A 26,074-nucleotide genomic window follows, 5' to 3' on the forward strand; every position below is an offset into this window, starting at 1 on the left:
TTCCAAGAGACCAGTCAATGGAATTCCAGGAAAGTCAAGAAGCCTGAGTAGGGACACAAATGTCTGAGCGCAGGATTTAAGCATGGGATGAATGAACACTTAGTGGCCAAGGTTGTCCAGGAAAGCTGTTTCTCCAAGCTGTTTGCAGTCCATTCAATTAGCATTTGAAATGTATGTGCTATCTACTATTTTCGATCACACTTCAAAAGTAGCATTTAATTCTGATTTTAAAATAATATATATCAAATGTAGAACATTCTAGAAATTCAGAAAATATAAAGAATAATTCAACTTCTTAATGTAATTATACGGTTAGAGCATCTCTACTATATTTTAAGTGTTACACCAACTCAGCAGTATGTCCTGAAAACTACCTGCTGTGGAACTTTGCATTCAAATGCAGTGAGAGAGGAAATTCCTGCAGTAACTCCACCTTATCCCAGGAGGTGCCTCCCAACCTCCATTGTGAGTAGAAAAGCATAAAAACAAAGGGTCATAATTCAGAGGACGAGTTTAGCCATCTCAGTAAAATCTGAGGGTTTTGAACTGGAAATCAAGTTCACAAATGCAGAGAGCCTTTCCACGTCCTAATCGCACAAGGAAAATAAAAATAATGTAAAAAAAATGTAAATAAAAGCATTACATTGTTCATGCAGTCTTCTCTTAGTGTGTATTCTCTTAAATACAGTATTCCACTTTCATACTGATTTTTCCGCCTATTATAGTTAAACAACAGTTCTATGCTAGGTCATTTGTGGTCCATTTATCACTTGATTTGTTTAGTTTTCTTATGAGACATTTTGCTACCTACAGAAGTGATTGTCAATGCTATCCTAACCTCCCTAAGCCGCAATGTCCTCATTGTGTTATAGAGATGATTGTACCTAGTGCATTGAGTTACTTGAAATATAAATAAACTTATTTTATATATATAACCTGGCATTTAATTAATACAAATGTCATCCTTCTTCTGGTAATCTAGAGATGGTTGGCAAGCTGAATCCAGGCAGTATAGGTTTTGCTGGATTCACAGGGTTTGTTTGTTTGTTTGTTTGTTTGTTTAATTTAATATTTATTTATTTTGAGACAGAGTTGTGCTCTGTCGCCCAGGCTGGAATGCAATGGCACAATCTCAGCTCACTGCAACCTCCGCCTCCTGGGTTGAAGAGATTCTTCTGCCTCAGTCTCCTGAGTAGCTGGGATTATAGGAGCCTGCCACCACTGGGTAGCAAAAATACAAAATTTTTGTATTTTTTAGTAGAGACAGGGTTTCACCATATTGGCCAGGCTGGACTCGAACTCCTGACTGCATGATCCTCCTGCCTCGGCCTTCCAAACTGCTGGGATTACAGGCGTGAGCCACTGTGCCCAGCCGACTAATTTTATTTAACTCCACAAGTGCTAACTGCCAGGTTTTGTTTGTTTTTTGTTTTGTTTTGTTTTGTTTTGTTTTGTTTTTTTGAGACAGAGTCTCACTCTGTCGTCCAGGCTGGAGTGCAATGGTGCTATCTCGGCTAACTGCAACCTCCGCCTCCTGGGTTCAAGCGATTCTCCTGCCTCAGCCTCCCACGTAGCTGGGATTACAGGCACGCACCACCACACCCGGTCAATTTTTTATATTTTTAGTAGAGATGTGGTTTCACCATGTTGGCCAGGCTGGTCTCGAATTCCTGACCTCAAGTGATTCACTCTCCTCAGCCTCCCAGTGTTGGGATTACAGGCGTGAGCCACCGCACCTGGCAGGTTTTTGTTTTAAATTGAATTATTTGCTAAATTAAAAATCAGGAGATGACACACAAAAATCCCTATATCCAAAGTCACTTAAAATTTTTGGAGATCATGTCGCCCACATTCCCATCTGTCAACAGCTGTCCCTTTCTAATGGAATTTACACTCCCAGTTGGTCCCTGTCTCTGTGCTTTCATACCAGGCCACCCTCATTTACTGTGTCCTATACCTGGCCCTTGTAGGCATATGACTTTGACACTAATCTTGTATTTCCTGTCCTGGATTATTGCCTAAAATAATCACTCAAAACTCCATGTTTATGGCAAAACAGTCTTATTTAAGTACACATAAGTTATAAAATGTCAAAAACTAAAGTCCCCTACTATGTGTTACATTTCATTTTATCTAGTTACTTAAGGTTACAATATCAAATATTTTAACCTTTCATATTAATAATTAACCCATGAATTATACAAGTTGTAACTGATTTGCCGTTATTCTAAATTTTATTTCTAGATGCTGCTGCCTGTTTCCTATTAGTGACAACCCACCTCCTAATCACGTCCTGCTTCAAACAAGGTAACATTACAGGACAGCCTCCGAAACAATAACTGTTTGAATATCCTTAATCTTCGGCAACTTCAATAACTCCCCCAAATATATGTAATCAGAGAATTAACTTTTACAACTTTTGGTTATTGTTTGCTTGAACCATAAAGCAGAGCTCTTTCTGGGTGTTTGGTTCTGATGCATTTTAGTTAGTTTTTAATTTTTTATTATTACAACTCTAATTTTCTCACACAATTATCTACTTCTAATAGGTTTTCATTTAAAAAGGCATGTAACTGATGCCTAATTTTATACTGCTGGCCTATTTGCTTTGTTTTAGCCAGAGTTTGGCAGACTTTGTAGACAAAATGAAACGTTGCTCTAAAACTTTTAACACTTAAATAATCATAATACACTCGATTTTTGCTCTGCCGAAAATCTTCCCACTAATGCTCTAATGCAATTGATTGGTGGAAAACAATATACACAGTTTTTTTTCTCAAAGGGATTTGGAAGTCACTCAAAATTAATTCCCCACTGATGAGCAGAGAAGAATCTCTCAAGAAGAATTCCTCAAAAGCACGTGGAAAATTTTCATGACCTCTGCAGAGTGTAAGACAGTATTTAAAAAGTCACTGGGGGCCAGGCATGGTGGCTCACACCTGTAATCCTGGCAATTTGGGAGGCCAAGGCAGGCGGATCACTTGAGGTCACAAGTTGGAGACCAGCCTGGCCAACATGGTGAAACCCCATCTCTACTAAAAAAATTAGCTGGGCACAGTGGTGGGCACCTGTAATCTCAGCTACTCAGGAGGTTGAGGCAGGAGAATTGCTTGAACCTGGGAGGCGAAGGTTGCAGTGAACTGAGATTATGGCACTGCGCTCCAGCCTGGATAACAGAGCAAGACTCTATCTGAAAAAATAAATAAATAAAAAGTAATTGAATATTATTGAACTTACTTTGAAACAGACTATGTACCCATAATCTAGAAAACTACATTTTCTGAGTCAGTCATTAAAAATTTCAAAGGCTGTTTTTGTACTGCCTCTCAAAATTTTTATTTTGCTCTTCTTTATTTTTCAGTTCTGTCTTCTTCAACTTCTCTTTTTCTTTTCCCTTTTTTGAGACAGAGTCTCTCTCTGATGCCAAGGCTGGAGGGCAGTGGCACAATCTTGGCTCACTGCAACCTCCGCCTCCCAGGCTTAAGCAGTTCTCCTGCCTCGGCCTCCCCAGTAGCTGAGATTACAGGCACCCGCCACCACACCCGGCTAAGTTTTGTATTTTTAGTAAGACAGGGTTTGACCATGTTGGCCAGGCTGGTCTCGAACTCCTGACCTCAGGTGATCTGCCCACCTCAAGCCTTCTGAAGTCCTGGGATTACAGACATGAGCCACTGCACCCAGGCCCTTTCTCCTGCTTTTCTCATGTAGGTTACCTGCTTTGCCCCTAAAGCATTTCAGTTTCCAGCCTCTGAAACAGTAACAACCTGAGATGCTGTAGACAGGAATGTATCAGCTTAGTGATTCAGGGACTTCTATGCAATAGGGAGACTGTTTCAGATCCTACCCCACCTGGAAACGAAAAATTTCTGTGAAAATTCATGTCAACCGCTGGGGCGTGGTGGCTCACACCTGTAATCCCAGCACTTTGGGAGGCCGAGGTGGGTAGATCACCTGAGGTCAGGAGTTCAAGACCAGCCTGGCTAACATGCTGAAACCCTGTCTCCACTAAAAATACAAAAATTAGCCGGGTGCGGTGGCGCATGCCTGTAATCCCAACTACTTGGGAGGCTGAGGCAGGAGAATTACTTGAACCTGGGAGGCGGAGGTTGCAGCGAGCTGAGATCATGCCACTGCACTCCAACCTGGGCGACAGAGCGAGACTCTGCCTCAAAAAAAAAAAAAAAAAGAAAATTCGTGGCAACCTCCTCACAGATATAACATAGAGAGCTGTAACTGGAGAGCTACAGGTCAGCACAGTAAGGAAAGCTCACCCACCACAATAGGCACCTTTCCACTGAGTGCACAAAGTGAAAGACCCCACTGCGCAAGCCTGGGACAAGAGGGGTTTAGAGCTTTTGAAAAGCATTTGATGATTCTCTATTTTACGGGAAAAGCTCTCTTTCCAGAGGCAATCAAGATGGATAGTTTGCCTGTTAATCAAAAGACTTGCTTACAGCATGGAGTTTTTGGGGAAAAAAAAATAAAAGACACATAGATATACCAGATACATTTTATTTTAACTCAAAACATAAAAGCATGTATAACATATAAACACCAGTCTTTAAATGTAGAGCGAAATCTTTTCTTTTAGCATGGATCAATAGGTTGCAATTATGAGCTGTCTTTCCTGCGTAAGCCAGACCCATGATGCCCTTGATAAGGCAATCAGATGGCAGGCATTCCTCTTACTCAGACTTTTTGTTCTATTCAGGCCATCAACTGATTGGATGAGACTCACCCATACTGGGGAGGGTAATTGGCTTTACCCAGTCTACCAATTCAAACGTAAATCTCAACCAGAAACATCCTCACAGATACACCCAGGATGATGTTTGATCAAATATCTAAATACCCTATGTCCAAGTCAACTGGCACATAAAATTAATCATCACAGTTACTAATTAAAAACAGAGATGCCTACGTCGAATTCAAAGAAAGATGTTTACATAAAAGACGCATTTAAAACAGAAAGAGAAGTTAGAAATAGAAAGATAAAAACAGATACATACTAGGCAATCATAAGAAGTTAAGTGGCCGGGCGCAGTGGCTCACGCCTGTAATCCCCGCACTTTGGGAGGCTGAGGCGGGCAGATCACGAGGTCAGGAGATGGAGACCATCCTGGCTAAGACGGTGAAACCCCATCTCTACTGAAAAATACAAAAAATTAGCCGGACGTGGAGGCAGGCACCTGTAGTCCCAGCTACTCAGGAGGCTGAGGAAGGAGAATGGCTTGAACCCGGGAGGCGGAGCTTGCAGTGAGCCGAGATCGTGCCACTGCACTCCAGCCTGGGCGACAGAGTGAGACTCCATCTCAAAAAAAATAAAATAACATTTAAAATAAATTAAAAGAAAGCCAAGGGAGCCATTTTTTTTTTCTTTCAGACAGAGTCACTCTGTTGCCCAGGCTGCTGCGATCTTGGCACACTGCAACCTCTGCCTCCTGGGTTCAAGTGATTCTCCTGCCTCAGTCCCACAAGTAGCTAGGATTACAAGCGTCCGACCCCACACCTGGCTAATTTTTTTGTATTTTTAGTAGAGACAAGGTTTCACCATGTTGGCCAGGCTGGCCTCAAGCTCCTGACCTCAAGTGATCCACCCACTTCAGCCTCCCAATGTGTTGGGATTACAGGCGTGAGCCACTACGCCTGGCCTGGGAGCAATCTTAGTATCTGACAAAATGGAAGTTAAGTAAAAAATAGCATAAGAGTTAGTACAGGATAGTCTATGTTAATAAATACAAGATGGTATAACCACCATGTACATATAAACAATAAATCAGCTTCAAATACATATTAAATGAAGAATGATAGAAATAGATGAATTAACAATTATAGTTGGATATTTTATTTTATTTTTTAAGAGACAGGGTCTCACTATGTTGCCCAGGCTGGAATGTAGTGGGCTAGTCACAGGTGTGATCATAGCTCACTGCAGCCTTGAACTGCTGGGCTCAAGCAATCCACCAGCCTCAGCTTCCCAAATAGCTGAGACTACAAGTACATGCCTTTTTTTTTTTTTTTTTTTTAATTGTAGTAACGGAGGTGTCCCTATGTTCCCCAGGCTCATCTTGAAATCCTGGGCTGAATGATCCTCCCACCTCAGCCTCCCAGAGTGTTGGGATTATAGGTGTGAGCTACTGAGCATGAGCTACTACTGGGCCTGGCCTGAAAAATGTAATTAATAAGCTTGAGCTGATTGAAAAAAAAATAAAAAGGTGAATAAGATCTTTAACACAATTTCATTTGTGTAGATTAAAAATAAGTTTACAAAGAATAATGATGCCTGTTTTATTTGGATGCATACAAATAGATAAATTAAAAAAAAAATGAGAGGCTTTGCATGAATCCATAATTACAGAAATAATAACTCAGGTCTTAAAAAATAATGATAGAGGCTGGGAGCAGTGGCTCACACCTGTAATCCCAACACTTTGGGAGGCTGAGGCGGGCGGATCACCTGAGGTTGGGAGTTTGAGACCAGCCTGACCAACATGAAGAAACCCCATCTCTACTAAAAATACAAAAATTAGCCAGGCGTGGTGGTGCATTCCTGTAATCCCAGCTACTAGGGAGACTGAGGCAGGAGAATCGCATGAACCCGGGAGGCGGAGGTTGCAGTGAGCCAAGATCATGCCATTGCACTCCAGCCTGGGCAACAAGAGTGAAATTCCATCTCAAAAGATAAATAGGCCAGGCGTGGTGGCTCATGCCTGTAATCCCAGCACTTTGGGAGGCAGAGGTGGGTGGATCACCTGAGGTCGGGAGTTCAAGACCAGCCTGACCGACATGAAGAAACCCATCTCTACTAAAAATACAAAAATTAGCCAGGTGTGGTGGTGCATTCCTGTAATCCCAGCTACTTGTGAGGCTGAGGCAGGAGAATCACAAAAACTCCATCTCGAAAAAAAAAAAAAGATAATAAATAAATAAATAAATAAATAAATAAATAAATAAAATAATGGCAGCAACACTTCCCTGTCCATAACTCTTCTTATCCCCTTCCAAAAGAGATATTCCTCTGTATGAAGAGTAAATCTCAAATAATATTAAACATGAGTTGAGGCTGGGCACAGTAGCTTACGCCTGTAATACCACAGTATTTTGGGAGACTGAGGCAGATGGGTTGCTTGAGGCCAGGAGTTTGAGATCAGTCTGGGCAACATAGTGAGATGCTGTCTCTACAAAAAAATTAGCTGGGCATAGCGGTGCGCACCTGTAGTTCCAGCTGCTCGGGAGGCTGAGGCAGGAGAATCATTTGAGCTTGGGAGTTTGAGGCTGCAGTGAGCCGTGATTGTGCCACTGCACTCCAGCCTGGGTGACAGAGAGTAAGACCTTGTTTCTAAAAATTAAAAAAAAAAAAAAATGAGCCTTCTGTTCAAGATAGTGAGCTGATGAGAGAGGTCATCCACATTTCTGGAGACAGAAAGCAGAAAATGGAGTGGTAGCTGACAAAGCACAGTGCTGGAAACTGTATTGTGAATATTTCAGGTGTGGCCTTCAACTGAGGAAGGGGCTGATTTCCCTGTGGCAACTCAGAGACATCCAAGACTCAAAGACCCAAAAGTGGCAAGTATAACAGAGGGCAGATGTGAAATGGGAAACAGACTCCTGAAAACAGGAGTCTGCCTGTGGAGCAGTCGCCTTTCCTTCCCCTGCTCACAGAATGTCAGGCTGCCTAGTGTTTACCCTTGAGGCTAAAATAGATAAGAAGATCCTTTTCTAAGAAAATTGACCAGCCTGTCTGGAGAGAACTAGATGACAGTGTAGGAACTGTGCATTTTAGTATTTTGGGGTCTCAAAGCAAGTTGGCTGATTCCCAACTACTCCTCTGAGATCAAAGCCTTCCTTTCCACAAGCTCATCCACATAGTCAAGCTCCCAATAAACAAGCTTTCCTATTGCCTAATTTTTAACATCAATGAGCAACCCAGGATCACTAGACAGTCAAGAAAAGGCTGCAGCAAGAAAGAGAAGAACCAAATTAAACAGAGAAATTGGCCCTACAAGAGACAAATGATTCAGAGAACATTGGATAACTTAAAAACAATACCCTGTTATATATTCAGAAACAGTTGGGAAATAAAAATTCCACCCTAAAAACTAGAAAAATGTAACAATGCTTGAATCAGAGAACAAGAGATAAATTTAGGAAATTTAATTTTTATTTATTTTTGAGATGGAGTCTCGCTGTGTCACCCAAGCTGAAGTGCAGTGGCGCCATCTCGGCTCACTACAACCTCCACCGCCCGGGTTCAAGTGATTCCCCTGCCTCAGCCTCTCAAGTAGCTGGGATTACAGGTGCCCACCACCATGCCTGTCTAATTTTTTATATTTAGTAGAGACAAGTTTTGACCATGTTGGCCAGGCTGGTCTTGAACTCCTGACCTCAAGTGGTCCACCCGCCTTGGCTTTAAATGATTGTTAAACTTTAAGAATTTAATAGAAGGCTTGGGAGGTAAAGTTGAAGAAATCTCTCAGAAAGCAGAACAAATAAACAGAGGAAGGAAATGTGAGAGTACAGTAATGAAGTCTTTATCTCATTAATTAGAATTACAGAAAACAGAACAGAAACAAAGGGGTAGGGGTAGAAATAAAGTCATGGAGAAGAATTGATTTTTGCCAACTCCTTGTATCCACAGACAACCTAAGGTTGCAACTAATAAATATAATTGCAAATTAAATATTTGTTAATAGTTTTCTTTATATTAACGAGTAAGACAAAAATGAAACAACCAAGAGGTATGTCTGAACTTAACTCATTAGTCAATGATGTGAGCAACTTCTTTGCTGAATTGGATAATAGTTTTCAAGTACTGGAAAAATGTGTCCTCATTTTTTGGTGCTATTTACAATGTAACAGCTATCGATGTGACATACTTTTTTTTTTTTTTTTTTTTTTCTGAGACAGACTTGTGCTCTTGTTGCCCAGGCTGGAGTGCAATGGTGCGTTCCTGGCTCACTGCAACCTCCACCTCCCAGGTTCAAGTGATTATCCTGCATCAGCCTCCCAAGTAGCTGGGATAACAGGTGCCCGCCACCACGCCTGGCTAATTTGTGTATTTTTAGTAGAGTGGGGTTTCACCATGTTGGCCCGGCCATCTCGGCCTCCCAAAGTGCTGGGATTACAGGCATGAACCACCGTGCCTGGCCTGATGTGACATACTTTCAAGTTTAATCTGCATTATTAACATTTTCTCCACTACTTTCCTAAGTTTAGAAGATCAAGGAAACAATAACTCAAGCCCTGGCTTGTAGCATTTGTCAATTTCTATGGTGCAAATACTCCCACCATGGCCAATTTCAGACGACCAACATGACATTACTGAATACAGAGGTGGGAAGAGATATGCAGTAACACACAAACAAACACCTGTATATGTTATATATTATCATCATGTAGATACAAGACATATAAATAACCTCAATCTAGTATATATATATATATACACACTCAATATGGTAGTTCATATAGTAAAATAATCAGGAAGTTTTGACTTTTTTTAGCATACTTCTTTTAATTGTAGGTTTATATACTTTAATTTTTCTTGGGGTTTTTTTTGTTGTTGTTGTTGTTTTTGTTGTTGTTTGCTTGTGAGACACGGTCTCACTCTGTTGCCCAGGCTGGAGTGCAGTGGCATGATCACAGGTCACTGCAGCCTCAACCTCCTGGGCTCAAGTGATCCTTCCACCTCAGCCTCCCAAGTAAGTGGGGCTACAGGTGCATGCCACCATATCCAGCTAATTAAAATTTTTTTTTATTTTAAATGAGATAGGGTCTCTCTATGTTGCTCAGGCTGGTCTTGAACTTCTGGGCTCAAGCAGTTCTCTTGCCTCAGCTTCCCAAAGTGTTGGGATTACAGGCATGAGCCACAGCACCTCACCTTATACTTTAATTTTTAATGATGCAATGTTTAACAACCAGTTCATACATCTCTGAAAATTAAAACAATCGGCTCTCAGAGCTGGTTTGCAGAGACTCTAACCACCATTGGAACACATCCATGCAAAAAGCCCAAGGTGAGACAGACCATTGCCAATACCCTAGAGGGCCCCTTGATGCCCCCTTCCCAGTCATGGCCAATCTCATGGGCCACCACTATCCTGACTTTGCGGGGTGTCCTACTGAGGTAAAAATATTTTATTCAGGAACATTTTAAATACAATTTGAATGTTTATAATGTTCTTAAATACCACAGCAACAAATAAAAACAAACTATAATAAGCAATGAATACTTACAATTTATTACCAACTGTATCTAAATTATATTTCTGTTGCTTTTAATTCTATTTTTGAGAATGTCTTATTTCTTTTATGATTTAGTTTCTTTTTTCTATTTTTATCATCTTTTTATAAAAGATTCTTTTATTCATCAGTCTATGTTTAAGATCGCTGCTTTTCACTTTGGTTGCTATATACATGCACTATCGGTCACACTAATTGCACAACCTCTGTGCAACAAATGAATGCCCAGGCCCAGAGGGTCATTGAGACTCTATAGGGCAAGGAAGACCAACTAGCTTTGAGCTCTTCCTCAGAACCTGGGAACATACGACCTAGTGGACATCACTCTGTTCCTAGTCCTCACCTACATGCACATTTTAGAAAGAGGAGTCATTAACAGATCACAGTGGCCATTTACACTGTCACATTTCCATTCACTGCAGCCTCAACCTCCTGGGCTCAGGTGACTCTCCCACCTCAGCCACCCGTGTAGCTGGGACTACAGGCAAATGCCACCACAGCCTGCTAAGTTTTTTGTATTTTTTGTAGACATGGGGTTTCGCCACGTTGCCCAGTCTGGTCTCGAACTTGTGGGCTCAAGCAATCTGCCTGCCTCAGGCTCCCAAAGTGCTGGGATTACAGGCGTGAGCCTCCACATCCAACTGTCCTCCATTTTTCTATAAGCTGTAACACATTATCAATTTTATTGACTTTGAGCCCTTGATTTGCATGCAAAGTAGTTTGTGCAGTCTCCAGTGCACAAACTACTGGTCAGGAGTTCTTTGAAAGTTCTTTACTCTGCATGGAGTACCTCAATTGCTCATGAAACCATTCTCTGGGTTCCTATGATGTCCCTGTCACTTATTTGCACATTCATGGCAACTATTACACTTGATATTTTGCTACTAGGCTTTGCATCCTTTCCAGTTCCTTTTGTAATCTTGTCATTTTTTTCTCTGAAGCCATTGTCAAATGTACTTGTAAACATACTTTAAAATCTTACTGTGCCAGGCGTGGTGGTTCACACCGGTAATCTCAGCACTTTGGGAGGCCAAGGCAGAAAGATAGCTTGAGCCCAGGAGTTCAAGACCAACCTGGGCAACAATGTGACCCTACCTACAAAAAATTTAAAATTTAGCCAGATATGGTGGCTTGTGCCTGTAGTTCCAGCTACTCGAGAGGCTGATGTGGGAGGATCACTTGAGCCTGGGAGGTGGAGGCTGCAGTAAGCCATGATCATACCATTGCACTTCAGCCTGGGTGACAGAGTGAGACTGTATCTGAAAAAAAAAAATAAAATAAAATCTTACTGGTTATTAACCTCAAAGGAGAACACCATTGCCCACTTTTCTTTTCTTTCTTTCTTTTCTTTTTTTTTTTTTGAGACAGAGTCTCAATCTGTCGCCCAGGCTGGAGTGCAGTGGTGCGATCTCGGCTCACTGCAACCTCCGCCTCCCGGGTTCAAGCAATTCTTTGCCTCAGCCTCCTGAGCAGCTGGGACTATAGGTGCCAACCACCATGCCCGGCTAATTTTTTATATTTTTAGTAGAGATGGGGTTTCACCACCTTGGCTAGGCTGGTCTTGAACTCCTGACCTTGTGATTCACCCTCCTCGGCCTCCCAAAGTGCTGAGATTACAAGCATGAGCCACCTCGCCTGGCCCCACTGCCCCCTTTTCTCAACTATAGGATAATAAAGTACTTAAGCTTTTAGAAAAATATCATATGCTAAAAACCAAGCTTATGCCTAAGTGGTTATTTGGTTTCTGGAAGGACTGTATGGTGTCAACGTAGGGAGGGGCATGAGCTAGTGGTAGAGATTGGGGAGGCATTGCCATGGGCCTGCTCTGCATCCCAGAAGCATAACGATAATTATGCCTCTCAAACAAGCTATGCAAATTGTAAAATATAAGTCATGGTAATCTTTGCTTTGAGAAAACATAAAAATATCCCACTTTTCATCTAGACAAAATTTTAAAACAAAGAAAAACTAGGGACATTACTGAGCATCTCACCTAAAATGATAGTGAACCTGGCATTGTTCTACAGTTGGTGTTTTGCCTGCTCCCCATGTGGTCTCATTTGTTTTTGTCAACAACTGCACAGTTTTGCAAGGCTTGGTGCACACAGTTTTTTGCTATTGTTCTTTTTTAGTGTCTGATTTTTTCAACTGTTGTCGGTTATGTATACCTATGTGAGTTTTGTTTGTTTGGAACTGTCACTATTTTAAAACATTGTCAAAACAAAAGTCTTTTATTATCTTTTACAAAATGTGCTAATATTTCATTGTAAATCAAGGAACGACACCAATGATCGTAACGTGCAGTGAAGAGCTTTATCATTATTAATAATTAATCACATTTCATCTATTGGCCAGATTATGATTCAGCTTCCACTAGAATGATTTAGCTTCCACTTGGAAAGCTATAGAAAGCTTGAAGTTCGGCCGGGCGCAGTGGCTGACGCCTGTAATCCCAGCACTTTGGGAGGCCGAGGTGGGCGGATCACGAGGTCAGGAGATTGAGACCATCCTGGCTAACATGATGAAACCCCGTCTCTACTAAAAATACAAAAAATTAGCCGGGTGTGGTGGCGGGTGCCTGTAGTCCCAGCTACTGGGGAGACTGAGGCAGGAGAATGGCGTGAACCCGGGAGGCGGAGCTTGCAGTGAGCCGAGATTGCACCACTGCACTCCAGCCTGGGCAACAGAGCGAGACTCCGTCTCAAAAAAAAAAAAAAAAAAAAAAAAAAAAGCTTGAGGTTCATAAAATTATGTGATAAGCAGTATCAGTGCAAACTTACCTGCAAATTACAAAGCATCTTAGGTAAATTGCAAAGCTTTAAGGATACAATTTTGGTGGGATATGGACTTCAAAGTGAATGCAATATTCTGTTACTTATTGTTCTCTCCCACTTAAAAAAAAAATCAGTCGTGAAGAACTTCTGATGGAAAATTGCTTTGACAATTTTTAGGAAGCATTGACAAGTTTCAGAAAGCATGAAACAGTTGAAGTTTATTTTAAAACATTGCAACTTGAGAGTACACATTTATTTATTTATTTATTTATTTATTTATTGAGACGGAGTCTTGCTCTGTTGCCAGGCTGGAGTAGAGTGGCACGATCTCGGCTCACTGCAACCTCCGCCTCCCGGGTTCAAGTGATTCTCCTGCCTCAGCCTCCCGAGTAGCTAGGACTACAGGCTAGCGCCACTATGCCTAGCTAATTTTTGTATTTTTAGTAGAGACAGGGTTTCACCATGTTGGCCAGGTTGGTCTCAATCTCTTGACCTCGTGATCCACCTGCCTCGGCCTTTCAAAATGCTGGGATTACAGGCATGAGTCACCATGCCCAGCCTGATATTTGTGATAAAACTTCTGCTAATAGATTACCTTCACTCATTCTAGACAAGTTGAAAAGATAAGACATTCTTAGGTGAAAATATTTCACTTTTCTTGGAAAACAGCACTTTTTTTTTTTTTTTTTTTTTTTTTTTTTAAACAGGGTCTCTCTTTCTCTTTTGCCCAGGCTGGAGTGCAGTGGCACAATCTTGGCTCACTACACCCTCAGCCTTCTGGGCTCAAGAGATCCTCCCTCCTCAGCCTCTCGAGTAGCTGGGACTACAGGTGCACACCACCACACCTGGCTAATTTTAAAATTTTTTTTTAGAAACAGGTTTTCACTGTGTTGCCCAGGCTTGTCTGGAACTCCTGGGCTCAAGTGATCCACCCACCTCAGCCTCCCAAAGTGCTGGGATTACAAGTGTGAGCCACCGTGGCCAGCCAGCACGTGCTTTTAAGAGTTCATTTCTTCTGATAATAAAAATCATTTTTTGGTGTCCATGAATTGATTTCTATAAATATAGAAATTCACAATCACTGAAATGATAAAAACAGGATAGTTGCAGGACATCATAAATAAGATTATTTTCCTCGGCTTATTCAATGCTGCATTATAAGACTGATAGTACAAAGAAAAAACTTGGTTTATGCAAGATGACCACAGAAAATATCAACGACTACTTTTTTTTAAGAGGTCACAAGATGTTTTCTTATTATGTAATCTAATCGATACTGGACATCAATGCTACGAGATAGGTTGGGCAAGCATTTAGCATCCTTCATTATTTCCTTTTCCTTCTAGTTGATACATAATTACTGTACAAATTTATGGGTTCAGAGTGATATTGCAATACATGTATATAATGTGTAACAATCAAATCAGGGTAATTAGCATGTAGATCACCTCAAATATTTATCATTTCTTTGTGTTGGGAATATTCAAAATCTCTTCTAGGTTTTTGAACATATACACGAAATTATTGTTAACCAGCCATGCGTGGTGGTGCGTGCCATAGTTCCAGCTACTCGGGAAGCTGAGGCAGAAGACTAGCTTCAGCCCGAGAGTTGCTGGGCAACGCAGACCGTCTCCCTTTAAAGAAAAAAAAATTATGCCGGGCGTGGTGGCGGGCGCCTGTAGTCCCAGCTACTCAGGAGGCTGAGGCAGGAGAACGGCGTGAACCCGGGAGGCGGAGCTTGCAGTGAGCTGAGATCGTGCCACTGTACTCCAGCCTGGGTGACAGAGCAAGACTCTGTCTCAAAAAAAAAAAAAAAAAAAAGAAAGAAAGAAAAAGAAAAAAAAATTGGCAGTTGTAGTAGTTCATGCCTGTAATCCCAGTATTTTGGGAGGCTGAGGCCGGTGTATGGCTTGAGCTCAGGAGTTCGAGACCAGCCTGGACAACATGGCAAAACCCCATCTCTACAAAAAATACAGACACACAAAAAATTAGCTGGGCATATCTGTGAGTGCCTGTAGTCCCAGCACTCAGGAGGCTGAGGCAAGAAGATCACTTGAGCCCAGGAGGTTTGTGCTGCAGTGAGCCATGATCACGCCACTGCACTCCATCCTAGGTGACAGAACGAGACCCTGTCTCAAATAAAATAAAATAATTTTTTTAATTTAAATTATTGGAGGTCTCTATTTGCAGGGCAGTGTGAGAGCAGAGTACTATCGGTGGCAGCGGGAGCACTTAGAAAGTTCCTTCCACTCTTTGACAAAGTATTGGTTGAAAGAAGTGTCACCGAAGCTGTAACCAAAGGGGGCATTATGCTTCCAGCAAAAATCTCAAGGAAAGGTATGGCAGTAGCTGTTGGATCAGGGTCTAAAGCAAAGGGCAAAGAAATTCAACCAGTTAGTGTGAAAGTTGAAGATAAAGTTTTCCCACAATATGAAGGCACGAAAGTAGTTCTAGATGACAAGGATTATTTTTTTTCCTTCCTTCCTTCCTTCCTCTTTTCCTCTTTCTTTTTCCTTTCTTCTCTTTTCTCTTTTCTTCTCTTCTCTCTTCCTTCCTTCCTTCCTTCCTTCCTTCCTTCCTTCCTTCCTTCCTTCCATTTGACAGGGTCTTACTGTGTCACCCAGGCAGGAAGGAGTGCAGTGGCACAATCACAGCTCACTGCAGCCCTCAACCTCCCAGGCTCAAGCAATCCTCCCACCTCAGCCTCTCGAATACCTGGAACTACAGGTGCACACCACCACACCCAGCAAATTTTTGTATTTTTTGTAGAGATGGGGTTTCACCATGTTGTCCAGGCTGGTCTTCAACTCCTGGGCTCAAGCCACCCCCTTGGCTTCCCAAAGTGCTGGGATTACAGGTATCAGCCATCATGCTGGGCCCTGCCAAGAATTATTTCTTATTTAGAGATGGTGACATTCTTGGAAAATATGTAGACTGAAATAAATCACTCTTGAAATGCATCAACATGAAGCTGCCATTCCACTGAAGTTATGAAACCTTTCATCATGTAAGTAGTTTCCATGTCTGTCTTTTATAATAAACTAATGATAGCTAAAGTGAATAAATAAAATAAATTATTGTTAACCATACTCATCCTACAGTGCTATAGATCACTATAACTTATTCCTTTTCTCTATCTGGAATTTTGTACTTGTTAACCAATCTCTCCCTACCTTACCTTCTCCTTTACCCTTCCCATCCTCTAATAACAACAGTTCTGCTCTCTATTTCTATGGGCTCATTTTTTTTTTTTAGCTCCCACATAGGAGTGAGAACACATGGTATTTATCTTTCTGTGCCTGACTTATTTCACTTAACATAGTGTCCTCCAGCCTCATCCATGTGCAAATGACAGAATTTCATTCTTTTTTGTTGAGATGATGGAGTCACGTTCTGTTGCCCAGGCTGGAGTGCAGTGGTGCCATCTCTGCTCACTGCAACCTCTGCCTCCTGGGTTCAAGCAATTCTCCTGCCTCAGCCTCCTGAGTAGCTGAGATTACAGGCACGCGCCACCACACCTGGCTAATTTTTGTATTTTTAGTAGAGACGGGGTTTCATCATGTTGGTCAGGCTGGTCTCCAACTCCTGACCACGTGATCCGCCCACCTTGGCCTCCCAAAGTGCTGGGATTACAGGCATGAAGCACCACGCCGGGCCGAATTTCATTCTTTTTTATGGCTGAATAGTATTCTATTGTGTATATATACCACATTTTCTTTATCCATTTATCTGTTAATGGACATTTTTAGGTGGATTCCATATCTTGGCTATTGTGATAATGCTGCAATAAACATGGGGGTGGGCAGTGCAGATATCTCTCCAATAAACTGATTTCCTTTTCTCAAAGTCTACTTTTTTTTGTTTGTTTGTTTGTTTTGTTTTTTTTAGACAGGGTATTGCTCTGTTGCCTAGGCTGGAGTGCAGTGGTGTGATCTCAGCTCACTGCAGCCTTGACCTCCTGGGCTTAAGGGGTTGTTCTGCCTTAGCCTCCTGAATAGCTGGGACCACAGGTATGTACCAACACACGTGGTTAATTTTTGTATTTTTAGTAGAGACCGGGTTTTATCATGTTGCCCAGGCTAGTCTTGAATTCCTGGGCTCAAGCTATCCACCCACCTCGGTCTCCCGAAGTCCTGGGATTACAGGCATGAGCCACCACACCTGGCCAAGACACTCTTTGAAAGTAGTCTTTTGCCAGGCATAGTGGCTCACACCTGAAATCCCAGCACTTCAGGAGGCCAAGGTGGGCAGATCACTTGAAGTTAGAAGTTCGAGACCAGCCTGACCAACATGGTGAAACCCTGTCTCTACTAAAAATACAAAAATTAGACGGGCGTTGTGGCGTGTGCCTGTAATCCCAGCTACTTGGGAGGCTGAGGCAGGAGAATCGCTTGAATGTGGGAGGCAGAGGTTTCAGTGAGCCAATATCATGCCACTGCGTTCCAGCCTGGGGGACAGAGTGAGACTCTGTCTCAAAAAAAAAAAAAAGGGAAAAAAAAAAAAAGAGAGCGTCTTATTGATGATGAAGACATGGCCAAGACTAGCTCTCCAGGGTTATATAATTATTTGCTGGAAATCAGAGTCAATATGAATAAGGCACAAAATTATGCCCAAGATACTGCTGCTAACATGAGTGAAAAGTTAACAGAGTGTTGTAGTCAAGTGTATGTAAGAAAAGTCAAGACTGTTATTCTATGTGGTCTTGTCACACTCATCCTCTAAATTAGTCATATGAGGTCTAGAAGGAAATGAAAGAACATTACAATTTTCTAGTTTCAATTTTTTATATTCTACTTCTCCTGTACCTGTGAAGATACTGACAGTATAAAATAGTTTATAAGCCTGGGCAATTTGGTGAAACCCCATCTCTACAAAACCTTAAAAATAATTAGCTGGGGTGGTGGTGCACACCTGTAGTCCCAGATACTCAAGAGGCTGAGGCAGGATAGCTTGAGCCTGGAAGGTGGAGGTTGCAGTCAGCTGAGATCGCACCACTGCACTCCAGACTGGGCAGCAGAGCAAGACTCTGTCTCAAAAAATAGAATAGAATAGAATAGAATAGAATAGAATAGAATAGAATAGAATAGAATAGAATAGAATAGAATAGAATAATAGAACAGAATAGAATAGGTTTATAAATGTAGTTGAAAGTGTAACATGCTAGAAGATGTGTAATTCTTTCTAAACCTATAGAATTGGTCATCATAGTTCATTATATAGTTCACTACTGTGGAGAACTTCTAGAGATTATTCAAAGACTCCCAAGCTTTTGCAATCAGCTCTTTAATCACACAGGTAACTAGTGAATTGAGCAGTTTGCTGGAATAGATTTTCAAATTTTACTTTCTGCTTGCTTAAACTGTCTTTATCACATGAAAAGTAAGTATGTGGTTTGATAATACACAATTGTTACTGTTGCTACTTAAAGATTTCTAAAATAGTTTACCATTGATGAAAATGAAATAAAGTATACTCTATTATTTTGAATAAAAATGTCTGCCTTTGCTTTTGTTGGGTCTAGCTTAATTTTAAAAATGTTGAAAAAAAAAGAAAGTACACTATGACTAAATTTTAATGCCCTGTGATCTTTCATTGCTAATGCAATTGGATACCAGCTCTCGGTGCTTCTAATGAGGGAAGATTGTGCCAATGAGAACCTGACTCCAACAAAGCTGAAAAAACAGCTGACATCTCCATATCCTGAAATATATCTCAGACAGTGTGGATTCATGAGAAGGATCCTGTCTGGGGAAGACTAGAATCTTGTCAAATGGATTCATCCCCAAATCAAGAACCTTATTTGGAAGCATCTTATAAGTTTTTTTTTTTTTTTTTTTTTTTTTTTTGAGAAGAGTTTTGCTCTTGTCACTCAGGCTGGAGTGCAATAGCATGATCTCGGCTCAGTGCAACCTCCACCTCCGGGGTTCAAGCAATTCTCCTGCCTCAGCCTCCTGAGCAGCTGGGATTACAGGCACACGCCACCACGCCCCACTAATTTTGTATTTTTAGTAGAGGCCAGATTTTGCCATGTTGGCCAGGCTAGTCTCAAACTCCTGACCTCAGGTGATCCACCCACCTCGGCCTCCCAAAGTGCTGGGATTACAGGCATGAGCCACCGTGCCCGGCCACATCTTATAAGATGTCTTATCCCATTACCAAGCCAAACAATATCTGTGTGATTGGAGAGATGTTGGTGAAGGCACATGTCTTGAAATTGGTCTCTTTGAGGGCTTGAAGCTGAGGCGGCAGAATATTTCCATTGGTGTCACCCACTCCAAAATGTGTAATATTCCTTTCTTATACTTTATATGTATAATATCTCTTATGTTTTAAAGCAGATCTTTGAATAATTGAAAGTGATACTCTTTCTCTGCAGCACGGAAAAGAACAAAACTACAAACATTTGTTTGTGGCTTTCTGGGTCTTGTGCATTATTTGCATACTGACCAATGCCCTCTAAATAAAAACAAAAATGAAAACAAAAACCATATTTCGTGAGACCATTTTGGAAAATATAGATTCTACTAACCTCTTCAAAACTGTGAAAAGCCTTTGCCAAGTACACATTGATGGAAAGAAAACTCCGGCTCGGGTCCTAGGAGGGACCCCTTTGAGGTGTGGCAGCCCATCCAGTCATACTGCCTTTTATTTTTTTATTTTTATTTTATTTATTTATTTTTTGAGACAAAGCCTAGCTCCGTCACCCAGGCTGGAGTGTAGTGGCGTGATCTCAGCTCACTGCAACCTCTGCCTCACAGGTTCAAGTGATTCTCCTGCCTCAGCCTCCCGAGTAGCTGGGATTACAGGCATGTGCCACCATGCCCGGCTAATTTTTTTTTGTATTTTTATTAGAGACAGAGTTTCACCATGTTGGCCAGGCTGGTCTTGAACTACTGGCCTCAAGTGATCCACCTGCCTCAGCCTTTCAAAGTGCTGGGATTACAGGTGTGAGCCACTGTGCCCAACCCCACACTGCCTTTTAGAGGAAAGCAGCTCTGCATGTTGGCCGGCATGCATTGGTGTCAAAGACCCTGTCAACAGCCTCAACCACATTGTCTACTGCTGTGGATATCTTCAACTTCCTGCAAGCCAGATCCTCGAATCACCATCTTTTCAAGAGGGTTTGTCAAATAATAGTAGCACAATATCATCAACTAGAGTAAGACAGGGTGATGAAGTCCTTATTGAACTTGAAGAGAAGCTCGTGTGTGTACTTAAGAAAAAAAAAGAAATGCCAGTTTTCCAAACAATTCTACTGGGAGGAATTCACTTACTGCTTGGTTTGTTAGGCAGATAGTTTGGTTGTACTGAAAGAAGAAAATCTTCCAGTTCAGGTCCTGGAATCACAAACATATTTCTGGTGCAGAAACAAAAACAAAAACAGAACTACAAGCTCTTTTGGCTAAGCCTATATACTTGGAAGAATAACTTGGAAGGACAAAGCTTCAGACTTTTCATCACTGAAGCAGATTCTTCTGCAGGCTGGAATTGAGTGTGACAAAGACACTTTCTCGATTTCTCTGCAGTCAGGAAACTGTGGTAACCGGAAAACCCTCAGAATACTTTGGAGTGTTACTTCTGTTTCAACAGTCTTCAAGTGGAAAGTGAATCCCTAATCCCTTCCCTGTTGACAAAGACAGCAGTAACAAGGCCAGTACTGCCAAAAATGACTTCATTGACTTGAGAACAAAGGAAATGAAATAACAGGAATTGAACTCAAAGAGTTGTAGAGGATCCTGGTGTTCTAATTTTTTTTTTTTTTTTTTTGAGATGGAGTCTCGCTCTGTGTCACCCAGGTTGGAGTGCGTGGTGCCATCTCGGCTTACTGCAACCTCCACCTCCCAGGTTCAAGCAATTCTCCCACTTCAGCCTCCTGAGTATCCGGGATTACAGGTGCCCATCACCACGCCCTGCTAAATTTTGTATTTTTTAGTAGAGATGGGTTTTCGCCATGTTGGCCAGGCTGGTCTTGAACTTCTGACCTCAGGTGATCTGCTTGCCTCGGCCTCTCAAAGTGCTGGGATTACAGGCGTGAGCCACCATGCCCAACCGATCCTGGTGTTCTTGATCCGAGCCCATCCTCAACTGGTCACCGGACCACAGATTCCATTTACTAACACAAACCTTTATGAGGCAGGGTTTCAACACTCATTTCCATCAAAGCAAGACTTAAAGTCAATTCTATGGTAATGAACATATTTGTCTTTTTTTTTTAAAAGATCACACACTTATTAAACCAAAGGGGCAGCATTGTTTTTGTTGAAATTACTTTTGAGCAGAATTAAAATTTACTTTTTGTTTTATTTTTCTCTATGTGCACAACTTGTATTTATTTTAATTTTAATTAAACATTAAAATTAATGTATTTTATTTACATTCATTTAATTTTTAAATTTATTTTAATTTTCAAGAAGTGGTCATTAGTTTTTGCTTGAAAAACCAAATCAGAAAAGCAAAACTTTTTAAATAATTTTCTAAGAGAAGGAAAAACATTTCCAAGGCAATACAGTTAATCATATGCAAAGTTTTATGTATGTATTTATATGCGTTTTTCTGGGAGCAAAGTCTATCGCTTTCATTAGACTCTCAGTGTGGTTCACAACTCAAGAAATGTTTTGAACCATCGGCATAATTGGAAATTACATCTTAGTTTTCATAATGTAAGTAAGAATCAAGATTGATTTTTGGAAATCTTTGGGTGGGAACACATGCACCCATTGATATCTACTTTCACCAATACTAAACATCTTTCATTTCCTCTCCTACCATCTAGGTTTTAGTACGTTTGATTTTGTTTTTTATTAGTGATTAGGGAATTTAAGCCCATTTTGTTTAGATGATCTTAGGTTGCTTTCATCTTTTTTAATTTAAATGAGTGAGTAGCAGTAAGGATAACTTTTAGGCCAGCTCATGCCTGCAATCCCAGCACTTTGGGAGGTCAAGGTGGGTGGATCGCTCGAACCCAGGAGTTCAAGATTAGTCTGGGCAATACAGTGAGATCTCTACAAAAAAAAAAAAAAAAAAAAGGAACTAGCCAAGCATGGTGGTGTGTGCCTGTAGTAGAGGCTGAAGTGGGAGGATGTCTCTTTTTTTTTTTTTTTTTTTCATGACCAGCTCTGTCACCACGCTGGAGTGCAGTGGCGCGATCTTGGCTCACTGCAACCTCAGCCTCCCAGGTTCAAGTGATTCTCCTGCCTCAGCCTCCCAAGTAGCTGGGATTACAGTCATGCACCACCACGCCCAGCTAATTTTTGTAATTTTTGTACTTTTAGTAGAGACAGGGTTTCGCCATGTTGGCCAGGATGGTCTCGATCTCCTGATCTCGTGATCTGCCCACCTGTGCCTCCGAAAGTGCTGGGATTATAGGTGTGAGCCACTGTGCCTGGCTTGATGTGGGAGGATCTCTTGAGCCCAGGAGTTCAAGGATGCTGTGAGCTGTGTTTGCACCACGGCACTCCAGCCTGGGTGACAGAGCTATATCCTGTCCCTAAATAAACTAATGAAAACTAAATATAAATTTTTTGAAGACCCTGTCTTATTAAAAACAAAAAGATAACTTAAGTGGAAGCAAAACACAGATACGATGTCCAGCTCTATTCATTTTGTGATTTTTTTTTTTTTTTTTTTTTTTTGAGATGGAGTCTCGCTCTGTCACCCAGGCTGGAGTGCAGTGGCGCAATCTTGGCTCACTGCAAGCTCCGCCTCCCGGGTTCATGCCATTCTCCTGCCTCAGCCTCCCGAGTAGCTAGGATTACAGGTGTCTGACACCACGCCCAGCTAGTTTTTATATTTTTAGTGGAGACAGGGTTTCACCATGTTGGCCAGGCTGGTCTCAAACTCCTGACCTCAGGTGATCTGCCCACCTCGGCCTCCCTAAGTGCCGGGATTACAGGCATGAGCCACCATGCCCAGCCAGGATTTAATGTTTCTAATTCTCCAATTTCCTTAATTGTCTGTCGCCAGCAGCCTATCTCTGACACCACTTTTTATAACATTGTATTTCACTGACATACCACTTCCAACAAGGTAGACTTCAAGGCTCCTTCTATCTTGTGGTTCTGCTGCCTTTTAGAGCCTGGGAGAGCTCCACTGCACTGTTTGCATCTGGTGGCAGAGATGATTGCACCAGAGGTTTTAGGGACCAGGCCTGATATAGTTTGGATATTTATTCTCTCCAAATCTTATGTTGAAATTTGATCCTCAAGGTTGGAGTTGGGGCTTGGCAGGAAGTGTTTGGGTCATGGGGCAGATCTCTCATGAATAACTTGGTGCCCTCCTCGAGATAATGAGTGAGTCCTTGCTTTATTCGTTCACAGGAGATCTGGTTGTTAAAAAGAGTCTGGGGCCAGGCATGGTGGCTCACAACTGTAATCCCAGCACTTTGGGAGGCCAAGGTGCAGGAGGATCAGAGCCCAGGAATTCCAGACTAGCCTAGGCAACATAGTGCGACACATCTCATATATATTATATGTGTTATATATATGTAGACCAGTTGCGGTCGCTTACGCCTATAATCCCAGCACTTTGGGAGGCCGAGGCGGGCAGATCACCTGAGGTCAGGAGTTTGAGACCAGCCTGGCCAACGGAGTGAAACCCCGTCTCTACTAAAAATACAAAAACTTAGCTGAGAGCAGTGACATGCGCCTGTAATCCCAGCTACAGGGATTGGGAGGCTGAGGCAGGAGAATTGCTTGAACCCGGGAGGCGGAGGTTTCAGTGAGCCAAGATTGCACCACTGCACTCCAGCCATAATGACAGAGAGAGACTCTGTCTCAAAAAAAAAAAAAAAATATATATATATATATATATATATATGTAGCCAGGTGTGGTGACATGCACCTGTAGACCCAACTACTTGGGAGGCTGGGATGGGAGGATTGCTTGACCCCAGAAGGTGGAGGCTGCAGTGAGCCATGATTGTGCCATTGCACTCCAGCCAGGATGACAAAGCGAGGCTCTGTCTCTAACAAACAAAACAAAACAAAAAAGAGTCTGGGACCTCCTTCCCATTGCTCTTTCTCCCTCTCTTGCCATGTGACACACCTACTCCCCCTTTGCCTTCCACTATGATTGAAAGCTTCTTGAGGCCCTCACCAGAAGTTGATGCTGGTGCCATGCTGCTTGTATAGACTACAGAACATGAGTCAAATAATCCTTCTTTCTTTATAAATTGCCAAGTCTCAGATATTCCTTTATAGCAATGCAAAATGGACTAACACAAGGCCTAAAGTTGCATACTATTCTGTTGGACAGCATACATTCTACTGGACAGGACACAGTCACATGGCCCCACTCGGATGCAAAGGAACAAGGAAACATGGCCTACTGGTGCGCCAAGGAAGTGAAAGAAGAGGTGTTGGGGAACAGCCAATATTTGCTTCTGCTCACCAAATATTTGTTTCATTTTTCCTTTTACACATAGAACACTGCCCCTTCCACCTGCGAAGATGAAGAGTTCAAAGTCCCAGCCAGTTACTACATTCAGCTCAAAAAACGAGACCTACAAGGTAGGTGTTGATGTGCATCACCTACCGTCAGGTGTGGATGTGGCTCCTTCTGTGCCAAATCAGCACTTACACCAGCCTGAGAATGAATACCCCCTTACATTTTGTGCCCTAGCCATCTCACTTGCCTCATTCTAGTCCTGGCCCTGCCTCTTGCCATGCTAATATAAAATGATGGAACACAGAATTGCTGCCTTTTTCACTCATGTTTGGAAGAGAAAATAGAAGACACACAGCAGTCATTGGTCAAGAGAAAATTTGAAATCCTCTAGGTGTTCATGCCTTCAATTAGGCTCTAATTTTTCTCTCTGGGAGGAACTTTCTATTGGTTTCTGTGGCTCCTGCAGCCACCCTCTAGCATGGTTTTCATTCATTGCACATCATCTTCCCTGGCCACAGTTGAAGTGTTTATTTGGGGAATGCCTTTCTTGAGCAAGACTAGGGGCTCAAAGCTTTGAACAGTCAAAAAGCAAAAAGCTTGGGATCCTGGATTCAAAAACTTTGTAGGCTTCTTGTCTCTTTACCTCCAGTCAGTTCCATGTGCCAGTAACCCAAAGTTTCTCCCTAGACACACTTTTTAAGCCTGCCTTATTTTCTTTAGTTCCCTTCTGCCTCCCTCTTCCCCCACGCCTCTTTCAACTTAATGGTTGCCACCTCACACTACCATACCTGGCTTAGAAGGCCACTCCCTTAATTTGATCTTTGGCACAAGGCTCATCCACTTTGTTCAACTCAGAAATTTTCTTGGAACTTTGTTACTCAAAGCCTTGTTTTTTCTCATATCTTCCAGTTCAGAGTCTAAAAAAAGTTGGCGTTTCCGACTCAGCAGGACACTGAATTTCTGGACTGTATTCCTTTTTTACTTCTGCTTGTAAATTGGCCAATTGTTTGTTTTTGTTTTTTTGTTTTTTGTTTTTTTTTTTTTTTGAGACAGAGTCTGGCTCTGTCGCCCAGGCTGGAGTGCAGTGGCACGATCTCAGCTGACTGCAAGCTCCGCCTCCCGGGTTCACGCCATTCTCCTGCCTCAGCCTCCCGAGTACTTGGGACTATGAGTAGCTGGGACTACAGGCGCCTGCCAACATGCCTGGCTAATTTTTTTGTATTTTTAGTAGAGACGGGGTTTCACCGTGTTAGCCAGGATGGTCTCGATCTCCTGACCTCATGATTCGCCTGCCTCAGCCTCCCAAAGTGCTGGGATTACAGGCGCGAGCCACCGCACCCGGCCAATAAATTGGCCAATTTTTCCGGTGACCATCACTTTCTTGTAATAGTCTGTCCAGTGCAGTCAATAACAACCAACACACAGTACTAATGTGCTGCTTTCTAATTTCTTCCTATAGAGCTACAGGTTCAATAGGCACAGGTGACAATTTTATCAAATTTTTTGCCAGTTTTTTTTTTAAATATTTATTTTTATTTTTGACATAGAGTCTCACTTTGTCAACTAGGCTGGAGTGCCGTGGTGTAATCTCAGCTCACTGCAACCTCTGCCTCCTGGACTCAAACAATTCTCCTGCCTCAGCCTCACGGGCAGCTGGGATTACAGGTGCCCAC

At 42.0% G+C, this 26,074-nt stretch overlaps 1 long non-coding RNA gene and 1 pseudogene across 1 annotated transcript in view, besides 2 other annotated features; both read left to right on the forward strand.

Moving 5' to 3' along the window:
* Positions 1–26,074, forward strand: part of LOC105375683 (uncharacterized) — a 110,442-nt gene that overhangs the window by 24,192 nt on the left and 60,176 nt on the right. The window contains exons 2-3 of the long non-coding RNA NR_168428.1: positions 2,245–2,307; positions 24,439–24,523. This is a non-coding gene — a long non-coding RNA (uncharacterized LOC105375683). The remainder of the gene's footprint in view (positions 1–2,244; positions 2,308–24,438; positions 24,524–26,074) is intronic.
* Positions 829–1,378: an enhancer, noted in NCBI's record as "H3K27ac hESC enhancer chr8:103449587-103450136 (GRCh37/hg19 assembly coordinates)". NCBI's record gives its function as "activates a minimal SCP1, AML or CMV promoter by ChIP-STARR-seq in primed H9 embryonic stem cells {active_cell/tissue: H9 hESC(primed)}" and the evidence as "EXISTENCE:reporter gene assay evidence [ECO:0000049][PMID:30033119]".
* Positions 1,379–1,926: an enhancer, noted in NCBI's record as "H3K27ac hESC enhancer chr8:103450137-103450684 (GRCh37/hg19 assembly coordinates)". NCBI's record gives its function as "activates a minimal SCP1, AML or CMV promoter by ChIP-STARR-seq in primed H9 embryonic stem cells {active_cell/tissue: H9 hESC(primed)}" and the evidence as "EXISTENCE:reporter gene assay evidence [ECO:0000049][PMID:30033119]".
* Positions 15,196–16,076, forward strand: HSPE1P14 (heat shock protein family E (Hsp10) member 1 pseudogene 14; annotated as a pseudogene).

This window comes from Homo sapiens, chromosome 8 (assembly GCF_000001405.40).
Source record: "Homo sapiens chromosome 8, GRCh38.p14 Primary Assembly".
Classification (NCBI taxonomy): Eukaryota; Metazoa; Chordata; class Mammalia; order Primates; family Hominidae; genus Homo; species Homo sapiens.